The 13379-nt window shown below is 63.3% G+C and overlaps 1 protein-coding gene across 10 annotated transcripts in view, besides 4 other annotated features; it reads right to left on the reverse strand.

Annotated features, from left to right (window-relative positions):
- Positions 1-13379, reverse strand: part of SLC12A7 (solute carrier family 12 member 7) — a 105516-nt gene that overhangs the window by 12673 nt on the left and 79464 nt on the right. For 7 of the 10 annotated variants that reach the window (XM_011513941.3, NM_006598.3, XM_005248231.4 and 4 more), the window contains exons 14-20: positions 13082-13180; positions 12315-12434; positions 11511-11615; positions 10577-10745; positions 2227-2422; positions 1027-1196; positions 788-919 (exon numbers count right to left, since the gene is read on the reverse strand). In XM_011513941.3, the coding sequence (XP_011512243.2) occupies positions 788-919; positions 1027-1196; positions 2227-2422; positions 10577-10745; positions 11511-11615; positions 12315-12434; positions 13082-13180 (991 nt within the window). Of the gene's footprint in view, positions 1-308; positions 479-787; positions 920-1026; positions 1197-2226; positions 2423-10576; positions 10746-11510; positions 11616-12314; positions 12435-13081; positions 13181-13379 lie in introns of all 10 variants that reach the window. The other 3 variants (XR_007058571.1, XR_007058570.1, XR_007058569.1) reach the window with 1 other exon arrangement.
- Positions 4434-4933: an enhancer, noted in NCBI's record as "H3K4me1 hESC enhancer chr5:1067605-1068104 (GRCh37/hg19 assembly coordinates)". NCBI's record gives its function as "activates a minimal SCP1, AML or CMV promoter by ChIP-STARR-seq in primed H9 embryonic stem cells {active_cell/tissue: H9 hESC(primed)}" and the evidence as "EXISTENCE:reporter gene assay evidence [ECO:0000049][PMID:30033119]".
- Positions 5656-6155: an enhancer, noted in NCBI's record as "H3K4me1 hESC enhancer chr5:1068827-1069326 (GRCh37/hg19 assembly coordinates)". NCBI's record gives its function as "activates a minimal SCP1, AML or CMV promoter by ChIP-STARR-seq in naive H9 embryonic stem cells {active_cell/tissue: H9 hESC(naive)}" and the evidence as "EXISTENCE:reporter gene assay evidence [ECO:0000049][PMID:30033119]".
- Positions 9911-10465: an enhancer, noted in NCBI's record as "H3K27ac-H3K4me1 hESC enhancer chr5:1073082-1073636 (GRCh37/hg19 assembly coordinates)". NCBI's record gives its function as "activates a minimal SCP1, AML or CMV promoter by ChIP-STARR-seq in primed H9 embryonic stem cells {active_cell/tissue: H9 hESC(primed)}" and the evidence as "EXISTENCE:reporter gene assay evidence [ECO:0000049][PMID:30033119]".
- Positions 10466-11020: an enhancer, noted in NCBI's record as "H3K27ac-H3K4me1 hESC enhancer chr5:1073637-1074191 (GRCh37/hg19 assembly coordinates)". NCBI's record gives its function as "activates a minimal SCP1, AML or CMV promoter by ChIP-STARR-seq in naive and primed H9 embryonic stem cells {active_cell/tissue: H9 hESC(naive and primed)}" and the evidence as "EXISTENCE:reporter gene assay evidence [ECO:0000049][PMID:30033119]".

Here is a 13379-nt window from a genome sequence, read left to right on the forward strand (position 1 = left end):
AAGGGGCCCACCAGATCCCCAGGATCCAGAGCTCCATGCTTGGGGGCCGGGGGCAAGCGCTCCAATGCCAGGCCTCCGCCCATCAACCCCGTCCTCTCCAGGCGTGAAGGACGGGACGAGTCTCTGTCCAGGCCCTGCCTATAGCTGACCGAGGGCCTGTCTGTCCCACGTGACAGCTGCAGCCTGGCCTCACTGACCAGTGCCCCTCTCCCCGGGTCCCGACTGCTGATGTGTGGTTTCCAGCCGTGGGAAGGTGAGCCCATCTGGGGAGAGCACCCAAAACGGGAGGTGCTCAGAGGTGCACCCACCATGGCAACACCACTGAGGTGTGAGGTCCTGGACGGGGTCCCGGGCCGAGGAGGACACGGGACCATGGAGGACACGGAGATGCTGATGCCGGCTCTAGGGCAACACCCACACCCGTGTTACACGAGGTGTCCACAAGCAACACACGGGGCTCTGTGCTTTCTGTGATGTCCTGGCGATTCCAAAACCAAGCCTCCTTGACCACCCCGCAAGGCCTGGCAGCCCCCGCCACAATCGCCACCACCTTCTCCTCCCCACCTCCACCTCCACCTCCTGATCTCCCCCTCCACCCCCACCTCACGAGGCCACAGCCCTCCCGATCTCCACTTCCCCCTCCACCCCCACCTCACGAGGCCACAGCCCTCCCGATCTCCACTTCCCCCTCCACCCCCACCTCACGAGGCCCACAGCCCTCCCGGGCCGCCCCCCACCTCCTCCCCACCTCCCCCCGGCCTCCTCCCCTCAAGCCCTCGGGACTCACCATCTCCACCACCTCCACCTCGGCGCTGATGCGCAAGTGGTACAAGAACATCTGCAGGTCCTTCTTCATCTGGATGCTGTTGTCGTCCACCTGGGCCACGGTGAAGATACGCATCCGGCACTTCCTCCACACCTGCAGACAGGGAGGGCATGGCTGTGGGGCCTCAGAGGAGCCCGTCCCGGCCCGCAGCACGTGGGGTGGCCGTGCTCCGGCTGGCGTGTCCCCGTCGCACGCCCCACCTTGTGCTGGCGCAGCAGGAAGGGCAGCAGCATGAGCATGCCGCCGTCGTGCACGATCCACCACACGTCGATGTGGCCCCCGCCGAAGCGCTCCTGGTTTTGCGGAAACGAGTCGACGTTCTTGGCCACCAGCAGAGCCTGGTGCGCGGCGGTGGTGTCGCGGACGGTGTCTGCGGAGAGAGGCGGCCGTCCGCAGGTCATCTGAGGCCAGGGTGCGGAAGGGGCCTCCCCGGGGACTCACAGCCAGTGCAGGGGCGGGCACGGCGAGGCGAGGGGGGTCCCCACAAAGCCCCCACCCTCACTCCGTCAGCTCCTCCAAGGACCAGCCAGAGACTCACAGCAGAGTTCAGCTGCTGGTCATGTGTCCAGGGAATCCCCCAGCCCCTGCGGGGCTCTGGGAGAAGGGGAGGGAGTGCCTGGACACTTTCAGATGGCCGCTCCCAGGGCCAGGGCCTTCGACAGCCTCAGAGCACACACCCTCGGGTCGGTGGCCTCAAGGCCCATCGGGACCTGACAGCGCACAGGCCTGGGGACGTTGAGGGGACAGCGAGGAGACAGAGGGGACGGCGAGGAGACAGTGAAGGGATAGCGAGGAGACGGTGAAGGGACAGTGAGGGGACGGTGAGGGGACAGCGAGGAGACGGTGAAGGGACAGCGAGGGGACGGCGAGGAGACGGTGAAGGGACAGCAAGGGGACGGTGAGGGGACAGCGAGGAGACGGCGAGGGGACAGTGAGGGAACGGCGAGGGGACGGCGAAGCGACGGCGAGGAGACGGCGAGGGGACAGCGAGGGGACGGCGAGGAGATGGTGAGGGGACCGCGAGGGGACGGCGAGGAGATGGTGAGGGGACAGTGAGGGGACGGCGAAGAGATGGTGAGGGGACGGTTAGGGGACAGCGAGGGGATGGCAAAGGGATGCAGAGGAGACTGAGGGGACACGGGACAGTGAGGGGACAGCGAGGGGAGGCAGAGGGGGACAGTGAGGGGACAGCAAGGGGACACTGAGGAGACACACAGGGGACAGTGAGGGGACGGCGAGGGGATGCAGAGGGGACACCAAGGGGACAGTGGGGACGAAAAGGGGACAGTGAGAGGACAGCGAGGGGACACTGAGGAGACACACAGGGGACAGCGAGGGGACACTGAGAGGACACAGAGGGGACGGTGAGGGGATGCCGAAGGGCCGCCAGCCATGCCTACCCACAAAGTTCTTCCAGGAGAAGGGGTTGTCCTCCTGCTTCCAGGATGCGGGCCAGGCCATGAGCACCGTGTTGTGCTTCAGGCCGCCCAGGCCGGCCGACTGGATCAGGTGGGACATGCCATCCCGCAGGCTGGACGAGACCACCAGCTGGCAGAAGCCCTTGGTCTTCTCTGTGCTCATTAGGGACCGTATGTTCTGCGGGAGACAGGACAGGTTGGTGCTACAGCAGGAATGGGGTGCACAGACCCACGCCCACCACCCACGGTGGCCAGGGCACCCGCACCACCTCCCCTGTGGACCCAGCAGGAGGGAAGGCCCGAAGGCTCAACGGTGTGCTGCGGTGCTCCCGGCCGCTGTGTGTGTATGTGTGTATGTGCGTGCTCACACACTGGGGAGAGAGACACAGAGCAGGTGTGACTGATGCCACGTGCAGGGGATGTGGAGGGCTGCTCTGGGGACACAACGCCAGGCAGTTCTCTGAGGCGATCCACAACATCCCAGACCCACCCCCAGTTCACTCGGACGCTCTGGGCCAGGTTCATCCACCTGGTGCATCAGAAACACCCGAAAATGGGCCAAATTAGCAGCTCTTCAAAGGGAGGCCGTGGGGTCCAGGATGCAGCACCCTAACAGCAACGGCGGGGGGCGGGGGTGGGGGACTGCCGTGTGGTCTCCTCCCGGGGTTGGAGGGGGTCACTGCTGTGTGCAGTCTCTTCCCAGGGGTGTCTGATGAGGCTGCACCACGGAACGGCTTGACTCCATGGGGTTTGCACGTGCGTGGCCGAGGACCTGCCACGCACTAAAGCCATGCATGTGTGGACGCAGGCCTCCCACCCTCTGACCTTCAGGCCCTGGAACCCCAGGGCCTGCCCTGCTGGGTCTCAGCCTTGTGTGGTACCAGTGGCCCCTTCCCACCTGATTCTCCCTTTTGGAGCAAACATGCCTCTCCTGGCTTGTCCCCTGCTGCGTTCTGGGATAACCACCTCCTCACTTGCACATCTACAGACACAGCAGTTTTGTCCAGGATGGACCAGACCCCACATTTCACTGGCTTCTGGTTTGGATGCTTAGAGGATGAGATTTGGGAGCTCCGAGCAATGAGATTTACATGAGAGTTGGGACTCAGAGCTGGTCTGTGCAGGCCTGAGACTTCAGGAGACACTGAGATGGGGTGAACATACTGTACATGTGTGGCAGATATGAATTTTAGGGCCGAGAGCTCAATTGCAGTGGGTTGAATAGTGCCCCCAAAAAAGAGGATACCCGCATCCCAGCCCCAGGAACCTGAGAATGCAACCTTATTTGGAAAACCTGTCTTTATGGATGTATTGAAGAACCCTGTAATTAGGTTATGATGTTGAGAGAGCATCCTGGGTCAGAGGTGGGCCCTGAAGCCACTGACAAGTGACCTTACAGGATGAAGGCAGGAAGAGCTCTCAGACTGGGAGGAAGAGACTGCGTGGAGGCACAGGCGCCCAGGGTCGCCCGGGGGCCCAGGAGCTGGAGGAGGCAGGAGGATCCTCCCGGGAGACTCTGGAGGCAGCGTGGCCTGCGGTCTCCTTCATCTCAGACTCCTGGGCTCCAGAACTAGGAGAGAACAGACGCCCTTTGCTGTGAGCCGTGTGGTCTGTGTCCCATCACAGCAGCCCCGGGCCACTCAGGGATCAGAGCCACCACCTGCCTCCTTTGCCGAGATTCCAGCAGCCCCTACGTCAGCCTGACTGGTATCCTCACCCCCTACCCTGGCTCACACCTAGAGCTCCACCAGCCCTTCACACACAAAACAACATCCAATGTTCTCCCACGGCCCCACTCCTCCTCAGGCACCCCTCGTCCTTACCCTGCTCTCCAGACACCTCCACCTTCTGCCCAGCTGCCCGGGCGCAAGACGGGACAGGGTGCAGGGCCAGCAGATATGCTCCTCTTTGAGACTTTTGTTTAGGTCAGGAAAGGCCTGAACACGTTACCCCCAAGGGGCACCAGCCAGCAAGCGGAGGCAGGGGCCCCAGAGAGGCAGAGACCGGCTGGAGGCGGACGCTGCGGGGTGGACACAGCCGTCTCTGGGCAGGAAGGCACAGGGAAGCACCCGCATCGGGCGTCATGTGGGAAGAAGGCAGGAAGTGTGGCTATTTCAGCAAAGGCCACACAGCAGCCCCTTTATGCGGCTGCTTCTCATCCCCACGAGACCCCTCTGCAGGGCAATTCAGGTTCTCTGTTCTTGTGCCCCGATCTGGCCGGAGAACGGAGCCCAGGGAAACGGCTGTTCAGGATCAGCCAAGTTTGGATGCAGCCACTGGAGGGGCCCTGAGGGCCTCCAAGTGCTGGAGCCACGTCACGGGGCCACTTCCTACATGACTGGCTGCTGTGCTCACCCCCACGTGCTGGCTCCGAGGAGTCGGAGCTGGGGATCTCAACTCTCTTCTGGCCTCACTGTTGGGAAAACCACCTTGCAGGACTGCAGGGTTTCAGGAGGACGCGGCACTGCCCTGGCCTGGCAGGAACTCAACACTGTGTGGGGAGACCCTGTTATCACAAGTCAGCACCGTGTCGGGGACCCTGTTATCACAAGTCAGCACCGTGTCGGGGACCCTGTTATCACAAGTCAGCACCGTGTCGGGGACCCTGTTATCACAAGTCCCCGCACCTGCCCGGCGCAGCAGTCGCAGAGGCCTCCGTGCAGACAGACCTCAACCCGGAGGACAACTTTACGAGCGGGGAGCAAGAACACCAGGGCCTTAGGACCCCTTTTATGCCAATCAGTGCCACACAGAACAGAGCACAAGGGCGCGCATGAGCCTCCCTGGCGACTGCATGAGTCACGAAGCTGCACGCTTCTTAGAGAAATGTCCATGCTTTACAGCCTTGCCCAGACAGGCTGCCGTGGCTCACACCTGTAATCCCAGCACTTTGGGAGGCCGAAGCAGACGAATCACTTGAGCTCAGGAGTTCGAGACCAGACTGGCCAATGTGGCGAAACCCCGTCTCTACTAAAAATACAAAAATGAGCCGGGCGTGGTGGTGGGCACCTGTAATCCCAGCTACTGGGAGGCTGAGGCAGGAGAACTGCTTCAACTCGGGAGGTGGAGGTTGCAGTGAGCTGAGACGGCGCCACTGCACTGCAGCCTGGGCAACAGAGGGAGACTCTGTCTCAAAAAATAAATAAAAATTAAAAAACAAATAAATAAAAAAGATTTGCCCAGATTTCTCTAATTTCACACTAACATAGCCACGATGGAGGAGAATACGGCTCCCCAGGGCAGTGCAGCCCCAAAGGCAGCCAAGGGAAGGCGGGGCCTGCGGCTGGCTCCAGCCCTCGCAACCAATGCAGCTAAGTCACAGCCAAAGGCTCGCTGAGAGCAGCGGGGGCAGGGTGCGCTCGTCCTCCCGTCCGCAAGAGCGGGCTCCTGTCTGAGGCTGCCCCAGACCCCCCAGCCGAAGGGCTGTCGGACGGAGAGGATCTGCCTGTGAGCTCCGTTAACGTGAGAGTATAAGTGAGCGCAGCTCTTCCCATGGCCGTGAAGACTGTGGCAGAGCGTGGCAGGGGGTCCCGTCATCCCCCAGTCACTGCAATCCCTGCCCTGTCCCTCGTGCGCACAGACGCGCCCTCACACACCTCCAGGGAGGCCAGGCAGTGCCAGGATTCTTAGAATCCACGCCAGCAGGGCAGTTCCAACTCCGGGATTCCTCCTAAGAGCATTCCAGCATGGGATAAGGAACACGGAAAGGGACATATGGGGACCAGGACCGTGAACATCCCCCCGAAAACCACGATACCTAAATCCACGGGTTCACAGTCAATAGCAGCTAACGCCTGAACCCGTGGTGAGCCATGACGCCGCCGTCAGGGAAAGGGAAGGCCCAGAGCATCTCCTGTCTTCCCTGGGAAGGCGAACCTGTGCAACAGCCTGAGAAGGTGGCCATCCACGTGGCCAACGTGGCGGGAGCGGCGGGGGCCATTTTTTACCTCCATGGGATCCTGGCCCTAGGCCACACCACCTGAGGCTGCTACCATCCACGTGCCCACAGCCCTCTTGAGCAGGGTTCCCACCCCTAGGCTGACCGGCCCAGACCTGGACGGGCCTCAGTGCGGCTGTGGTTGTGCAGAGAAACGGACCGGGGAGGCGGTGGGGGGCGGCTGCAGATGCCTGGACACACCCACAAGGTCCCAGTGGGGGCCTGGCAGCAGGGAGCTGGCTCCCAACCCACAGCAAGGACAGAGGGGGCACCCGCATGGGAGGGACCTCGGACACACACCACTGCAACAGGCACGTGGTATAGGCCCCACAGACTCCCACACACATGAGGGGGAAGGAGGAGGCTCGAGGCGCCCACGGCAGCCAGCCCTGCCTGGGAATGAGGTGCCCTTGGCATGAAAATCACGCAGGTGGGCACTCAAAAGCTCCCTGCTTTAGCAAGAAATACAGAAGTAACTCCAGGTGACGTGACGTGACGTGACGTGATGGGACCCCACAGGCTTTCATCGTGTCATCATTCCGTTTCTGGATAGTGTGAAGCTTCCCATAAGAAGTTTGAAAATCAGAGAAATGAAGACACAAAGTCTCAGACCCCGATGTCCTGGGGCAGCCGACTGCAGCAGCAGGGCTCAGAGCTGGCACCAGCATGCTACACGCCCGGGGCACTCACCCGTCCCTCCCCACAAAGCTCTGAGTGGGCAGAAATTCAGCAGCACACGGCATCACACTTAACGCAGCCCCCAGTGAGCCCCCAGCACACGGGCATCACACTTATGCAGCCCCCAGTGAGCCCCCAGTGAGCCCCCAGCACACGGGCATCACACTTATGCAGCCCCCAGTGAGCCCCCAGCACACGGGCATCACACTTATGCAGCCCCCAGTGAGCCCCCAGCACACGGGCATCACACTTATGCAGCCCCCAGTGAGCCCCCAGTGAGCCCCCAGCACACGGGCATCACACTTATGCAGCCCCCAGTGAGCCCCCAGCACACGGGCATCACACTTATGCAGCCCCCAGTGAGCCCCCAGCACACGGCATCACACTTATGCAGCCCCAGTGAGCCCCCAGCACACGGGCATCACACTTATGCAGCCCCCAGTGAGCCCCCAGCACACGGCATCACACTTATGCAGCCCCAGTGAGCCCCCAGCACACGGGCATCACACTTATGCAGCCCCAGTGAGCCCCCAGCACACGGGCATCACACTTATGCAGCCCCAGTGAGCCCCCAGCACACGGGCATCACACTTATGCAGCCCCCAGTGAGCCCCCAGTGAGCCCCCAGCACACGGCATCACACTTATGCAGCCCCCAGTGAGCCCCCAGCACACGGGCATCACACTTATGCAGCCCCCAGTGAGCCCCCAGCACACGGGCATCACACTTATGCAGCCCCAGTGAGCCCCCAGCACACGGCATCACACTTATGCAGCCCCAGTGAGCCCCCAGCACACGGCATCACACTTATGCAGCCCCCAGTGAGCCCCCAGCACACGGGCATCACACTTATGCAGCCCCCAGTGAGCCCCCAGTGAGCCCCCAGCACACGGCATCACACTTATGCAGCCCCCAGTGAGCCCCCAGCACACGGTATCACACTTATGCAGCCCCCAGTGAGCCCCCAGCACACGGGCATCACACTTATGCAGCCCCCAGTGAGCCCCCAGCACACGGGTATCACACTTATGCAGCCCCCAGTGAGCCCCCAGCACACGGGTATCACACTTATGCAGCCCCCAGTGAGCCCCCAGCACACGGGCATCACACTTATGCAGCCCCAGTGAGCCCCCAGCACACGGGCATCACACTTATGCAGCCCCAGTGAGCCCCCAGCACACGGCATCACACTTATGCAGCCCCAGTGAGCCCCCAGCACACGGCATCACACTTATGCAGCCCCCAGTGAGCCCCCAGCACACGGGCATCACACTTATGCAGCCCCAGTGAGCCCCCAGCACACGGCATCACACTTATGCAGCCCCCAGTGAGCCCCCAGCACACGGTATCACACTTATGCAGCCCCCAGTGAGCCCCCAGTGAGCCCCCAGCACACGGTATCACACTTATGCAGCCCCCAGTGAGCCCCCAGCACACGGCATCACACTTATGCAGCCCCCAGTGAGCCCCCAGCACACGGCATCACACTTATGCAGCCCCCAGTGAGCCCCCAGCACACGGGCATCACACTTATGCAGCCCCAGTGAGCCCCCAGCACACGGGCATCACACTTATGCAGCCCCCAGTGAGCCCCCAGCACACGGCATCACACTTATGCAGCCCCAGTGAGCCCCCAGCACACGGCATCACACTTATGCAGCCCCCAGTGAGCCCCCAGCACACGGGCATCACACTTATGCAGCCCCCAGTGAGCCCCCAGCACACGGGCATCACACTTATGCAGCCCCCAGTGAGCCCCCAGCACACGGGCATCACACTTATGCAGCCCCAGTGAGCCCCCAGCACACGGGCATCACACTTATGCAGCCCCCAGTGAGCCCCCAGCACACGGCATCACACTTATGCAGCCCCAGTGAGCCCCCAGCACACGGCATCACACTTATGCAGCCCCCAGTGAGCCCCCAGCACACGGGCATCACACTTATGCAGCCCCCAGTGAGCCCCCAGCACACGGGCATCACACTTATGCAGCCCCCAGTGAGCCCCCAGCACACGGGCATCACACTTATGCAGCCCCCAGTGAGCCCCCAGCACACGGGCATCACACTTATGCAGCCCCAGTGAGCCCCCAGCACACGGTATCACACTTATGCAGCCCCCAGTGAGCCCCCAGTGAGCCCCCAGCACACGGGCATCACACTTATGCAGCCCCCAGTGAGCCCCCAGCACACGGGCATCACACTTATGCAGCCCCCAGTGAGCCCCCAGTGAGCCCCCAGCACACGGCATCACACTTATGCAGCCCCCAGTGAGCCCCCAGCACACGGGCATCACACTTATGCAGCCCCCAGTGAGCCCCCAGTGAGCCCCCAGCACACGGGCATCACACTTATGCAGCCCCAGTGAGCCCCCAGCACACGGGCATCACACTTATGCAGCCCCCAGTGAGCCCCCAGTGAGCCCCCAGCACACTGGCATCACACTTATGCAGCCCCCAGTGAGCCCCCAGCACACGGCATCACACTTATGCAGCCCCCAGTGAGCCCCCAGCACACGGGCATCACACTTATGCAGCCCCCAGTGAGCCCCCAGTGAGCCCCCAGCACACGGGCATCACACTTATGCAGCCCCCAGTGAGCCCCCAGTGAGCCCCCAGCACACGGGCATCACACTTATGCAGCCCCAGTGAGCCCCCAGCACACGGCATCACACTTATGCAGCCCCCAGTGAGCCCCCAGTGAGCCCCCAGCACACGGGCATCACACTTATGCAGCCCCCAGTGAGCCCCCAGTGAGCCCCCAGCACACTGGCATCACACTTATGCAGCCCCCAGTGAGCCCCCAGCACACGGTATCACACTTATGCAGCCCCCAGTGAGCCCCCAGTGAGCCCCCAGCACACGGGCATCACACTTATGCAGCCCCCAGTGAGCCCCCAGCACACGGTATCACACTTATGCAGCCCCCAGTGAGCCCCCAGTGAGCCCCCAGCACACGGGCATCACACTTATGCAGCCCCCAGTGAGCCCCCAGCACACGGGCATCACACTTATGCAGCCCCCAGTGAGCCCCCAGTGAGCCCCCAGCACACGGGCATCACACTTATGCAGCCCCCAGTGAGCCCCCAGCACACGGGCATCACACTTATGCAGCCCCCAGTGAGCCCCCAGCACACGGGCATCACACTTATGCAGCCCCCAGTGAGCCCCCAGTGAGCCCCCAGCACACGGGCATCACACTTATGCAGCCCCCAGTGAGCCCCCAGCACACGGGCATCACACTTATGCAGCCCCCAGTGAGCCCCCAGTGAGCCCCCAGCACACGGGCATCACACTTATGCAGCCCCCAGTGAGCCCCCAGCACACGGGCATCACACTTATGCAGCCCCCAGTGAGCCCCCAGCACACGGGCATCACACTTATGCAGCCCCCAGTGAGCCTGAACAGCGGGAGACTGAGCTTGCAGCAGAACCATGATTACGGCTCTGGACGGGGCTCACCCATGGCGGGAGGAGGCGGTCCCAGGGTTCGCCCTTGGAAAGCTAATGGCCCTCACACCTCCCAAGCTTCCCGGGGTGCGGCTGGTGCTCCCAGGCCTTAGCGCGCTGCTCTGAGCTCAAAGCCACCGCCACGGCTAAAACACAGCAGCGCCACGCACAGCACCGTGTTGACACGCTGCGATGAGGACATGCCAGGGCACGTTTCCTGTGCAGCTGGGGTGGGAAAGAGGCCTGGCCCCCAGACCCCGCCCGGCCCACCTCCTCGGCCCGCTGAGCCTCCATGTGCTTGTCCAGGTACGTCCCCTCCAGCACCGAGCCCACGATGGTCAGGCCCTTGCCGGCCTTCAGCTGCGACGTGAAGGACAGCAGGCGGGGGTGCTTCACGGCCTGCTCCGCGTCCAGGTTCAGCATCACCAGCACCTGGGGCCTGCAGCCAGGGTGGGGCGGCTGTTACCACGGCAACGCTTACCAGGGCACGGCCCATCAACAGGCAGGGCAGATGGGACGGGCGGGGCACACGACACAGGTGGGACGGGAGATACATGACAGGCGGGACAGGGGACAAAAGGGGCAGGTGACAGATGGGATGGGGAAACGTGACACACGTGGGGTAAGTTGAACAGGTGACAGGTGAGACAGGCCACAGAAGCCAGGTGGGACAGGCAGGGCCGATGGACAGGTGGGCACTAGCCAGGCAGGACAGGAGAACAGGTAGGTTAGACAGGTGGGACAGGTGACATGCTAGACAGGTGAGACAATGGCCCAGGACACACACCTGAAGCCCCCACCGAGGCCCTGAGGGGACAATGGCCCGGGGCACACCCGAGGCCCCCGCCGAGGCCCCTGAGGGGACAATGGCCCGGGGCACACACCTGAGGCCCCCGCCGAGGCCCTGAGGGGCAGAGGCTTCCCAAAGATGGCCTTTGCTTCAGCAGGAGCCACCCTCTCCCACCCCAAGCCCAGGGCTGTGCTGGCAGAGGGGCCGGCTCCCCACACCCCCACCCTGCAGCAGGGACACCCCCGGCCCCCAGCTGCGCCATCCGCTCTGCACCAGGCAGTGTTCACACCCCAGACCTTGCCTGAGCGGCTGAAGGTGAGAGGCCCCTGAGACTCAAAGGTCCCCACTCAAAGGCCGACCTCAGAAACAGCTCTTCTGTGCGTCTGAGGACCACGGGGCATGGGCGGTGCTCACCTCCAGTTCTTGGTGTGGGGGGGACCGTGCTCCACGCGCAGCAGGGCGTAGCGGGCGGCGTTCAGGGATAGGCCACGGATGCCATCGCCCCACTCCTTCTCGGCCCTGTGGGAAAGGAAGTCGGGGTTTGTCCAGCCGCGTACCTGGAGGCTCCTCTCCCACCTGGGAAAGGGGACTTCTGGGGGCAGGTGAGTTGGGGCAAACAGGACCCCCAGGAAAAGTCCCTGGATGAGGAGGGAGGCCTCCATGCCCACCCTTGCCCTGAAGGGAGCCCGTCCTAGGAGCCACCGGGTCAGAGGGTGCTGTGGCTGTGGAGGGAACGAGGTCTACGTCCAGCATGCGTGAGGTGCCTTCCTCACAGGACGGGGGACAGGAGGCCCATGACAGGGAAGTGGCTGGACCCCGGGCACGAGGCGGGTGCAGGTGGAGGGAGGGTGGGTGCTGGGGCACGGGGAAGGACGCCTGTGGCTGCCGAGTGAGTACAGACACAACCTGGGGACACCTCGCGAGACACGTAGCAGGAATAGTCAGCCGTGGGCTCACCGCCTGCTGAGGACGGCACGAGACAGAGCTCCAGGCTGGAGACCCTGTCCACAAGTGCAGGCACCTCGGCCTGGCTGGAAGTGGGAGGGAAACCCCAGCTTTCACAACACAGCCCACCTGGACGTGCTCCCAGCTGCCCCTGTGAGGGCACACGACGCTCAAGCCCCAGGGAGGCCCCTCCAGGGAGCTGCCCCAGGCATAGCATGAGAGGGGCCCGCCCTCCCGTGCGCCGGGTCTGTAAGGGGGGCTGACAGCGCTTACCCGCGGTACTCGATGTACTTGTAGATGCAGCCAGCGATGAGCATGGCGGACAGCGCGTAGTACCAGGAGCAGATGAACATCAGCGCCAGGCACAGGCTCATACCCAGAAAGGACAGGGTCCTGGGGGCGGGGCAAGTGGCTCGGGGCGGCCCAACGCCATGCAGCCCCCACACCTCAGCCACCACCACACGGACACTGCCCCTCCCTCAGTAAAACTCTCTGTTAACACTAGGAAAACAGTCACTGACGCCTGACGACCATGGCTGTACTCAACCACCTCTGAGGGGTGACGTGGCTCCCTGGGCCCCTGTGGGAGCTGTCACTCCAAAACCCAGTACATAGCTCCAGCTCCCAGCGTGCACACAGCACCTCGGCTGTGCATGCAACAAGGGGCTGAAGCGTCCACCCAGCGCCTGATTCCTGGGGAGGGGAGTTAAGAAGACCCACAGCCCTGATGGGCTACGCCCCAAGCCTGGGAAGGCTGGGCTGACCACGGGAGGTACAAGGCACATGCAGACACCTGGGCATCCTCGTAACCAGAGGCCTTCCTCAGGTGCAGTCTCATCAGCTGCGCAGGGGCTTACTCCGCAAAGGAACAGTCAAGGACGCGCTGGGGTCTTCAGGCCCAGAGCAGCTGGCCTTGTAGAGGCACCCAGTGTCCCAGCCTGTGGGGCTCCTGACGCCTGTGCTGAGCGGCCTCACCAGTGGCAGAGGCACCCAGTGTCCCAGCCTGTGGGGCTCCTCACGCCCGTGCTGAGTGGCCTCACCAGTGGTAGAACTTGAAGCGTGGACGCCAGTTGGGGGTACGTAGCAGGGTCTGCACGGCGCAGGCCAGGTTCACGAACAGGTAGCACATGAGGAAGAACCTGCAGGGACGGCCGGCCACTGATACGGGCCCACTGGGCCCCCCTGAGCCCCCAGTCACTGCCACCTGGGAGACCACCCTTGTCACTGTCCCTCCCACCTGCGCCTTGTCTCCCCATGTCTGTCTCTGCACGTGAGCTGACTCAGACTGATTCCGAATCAGGCCCCCTCAGGTTCCAGCCATCCTGTGACCACCTGGTC

Source organism: Homo sapiens, chromosome 5 (genome assembly GCF_000001405.40).
Source record: "Homo sapiens chromosome 5, GRCh38.p14 Primary Assembly".
NCBI lineage: Eukaryota > Metazoa > Chordata > Mammalia > Primates > Hominidae > Homo > Homo sapiens.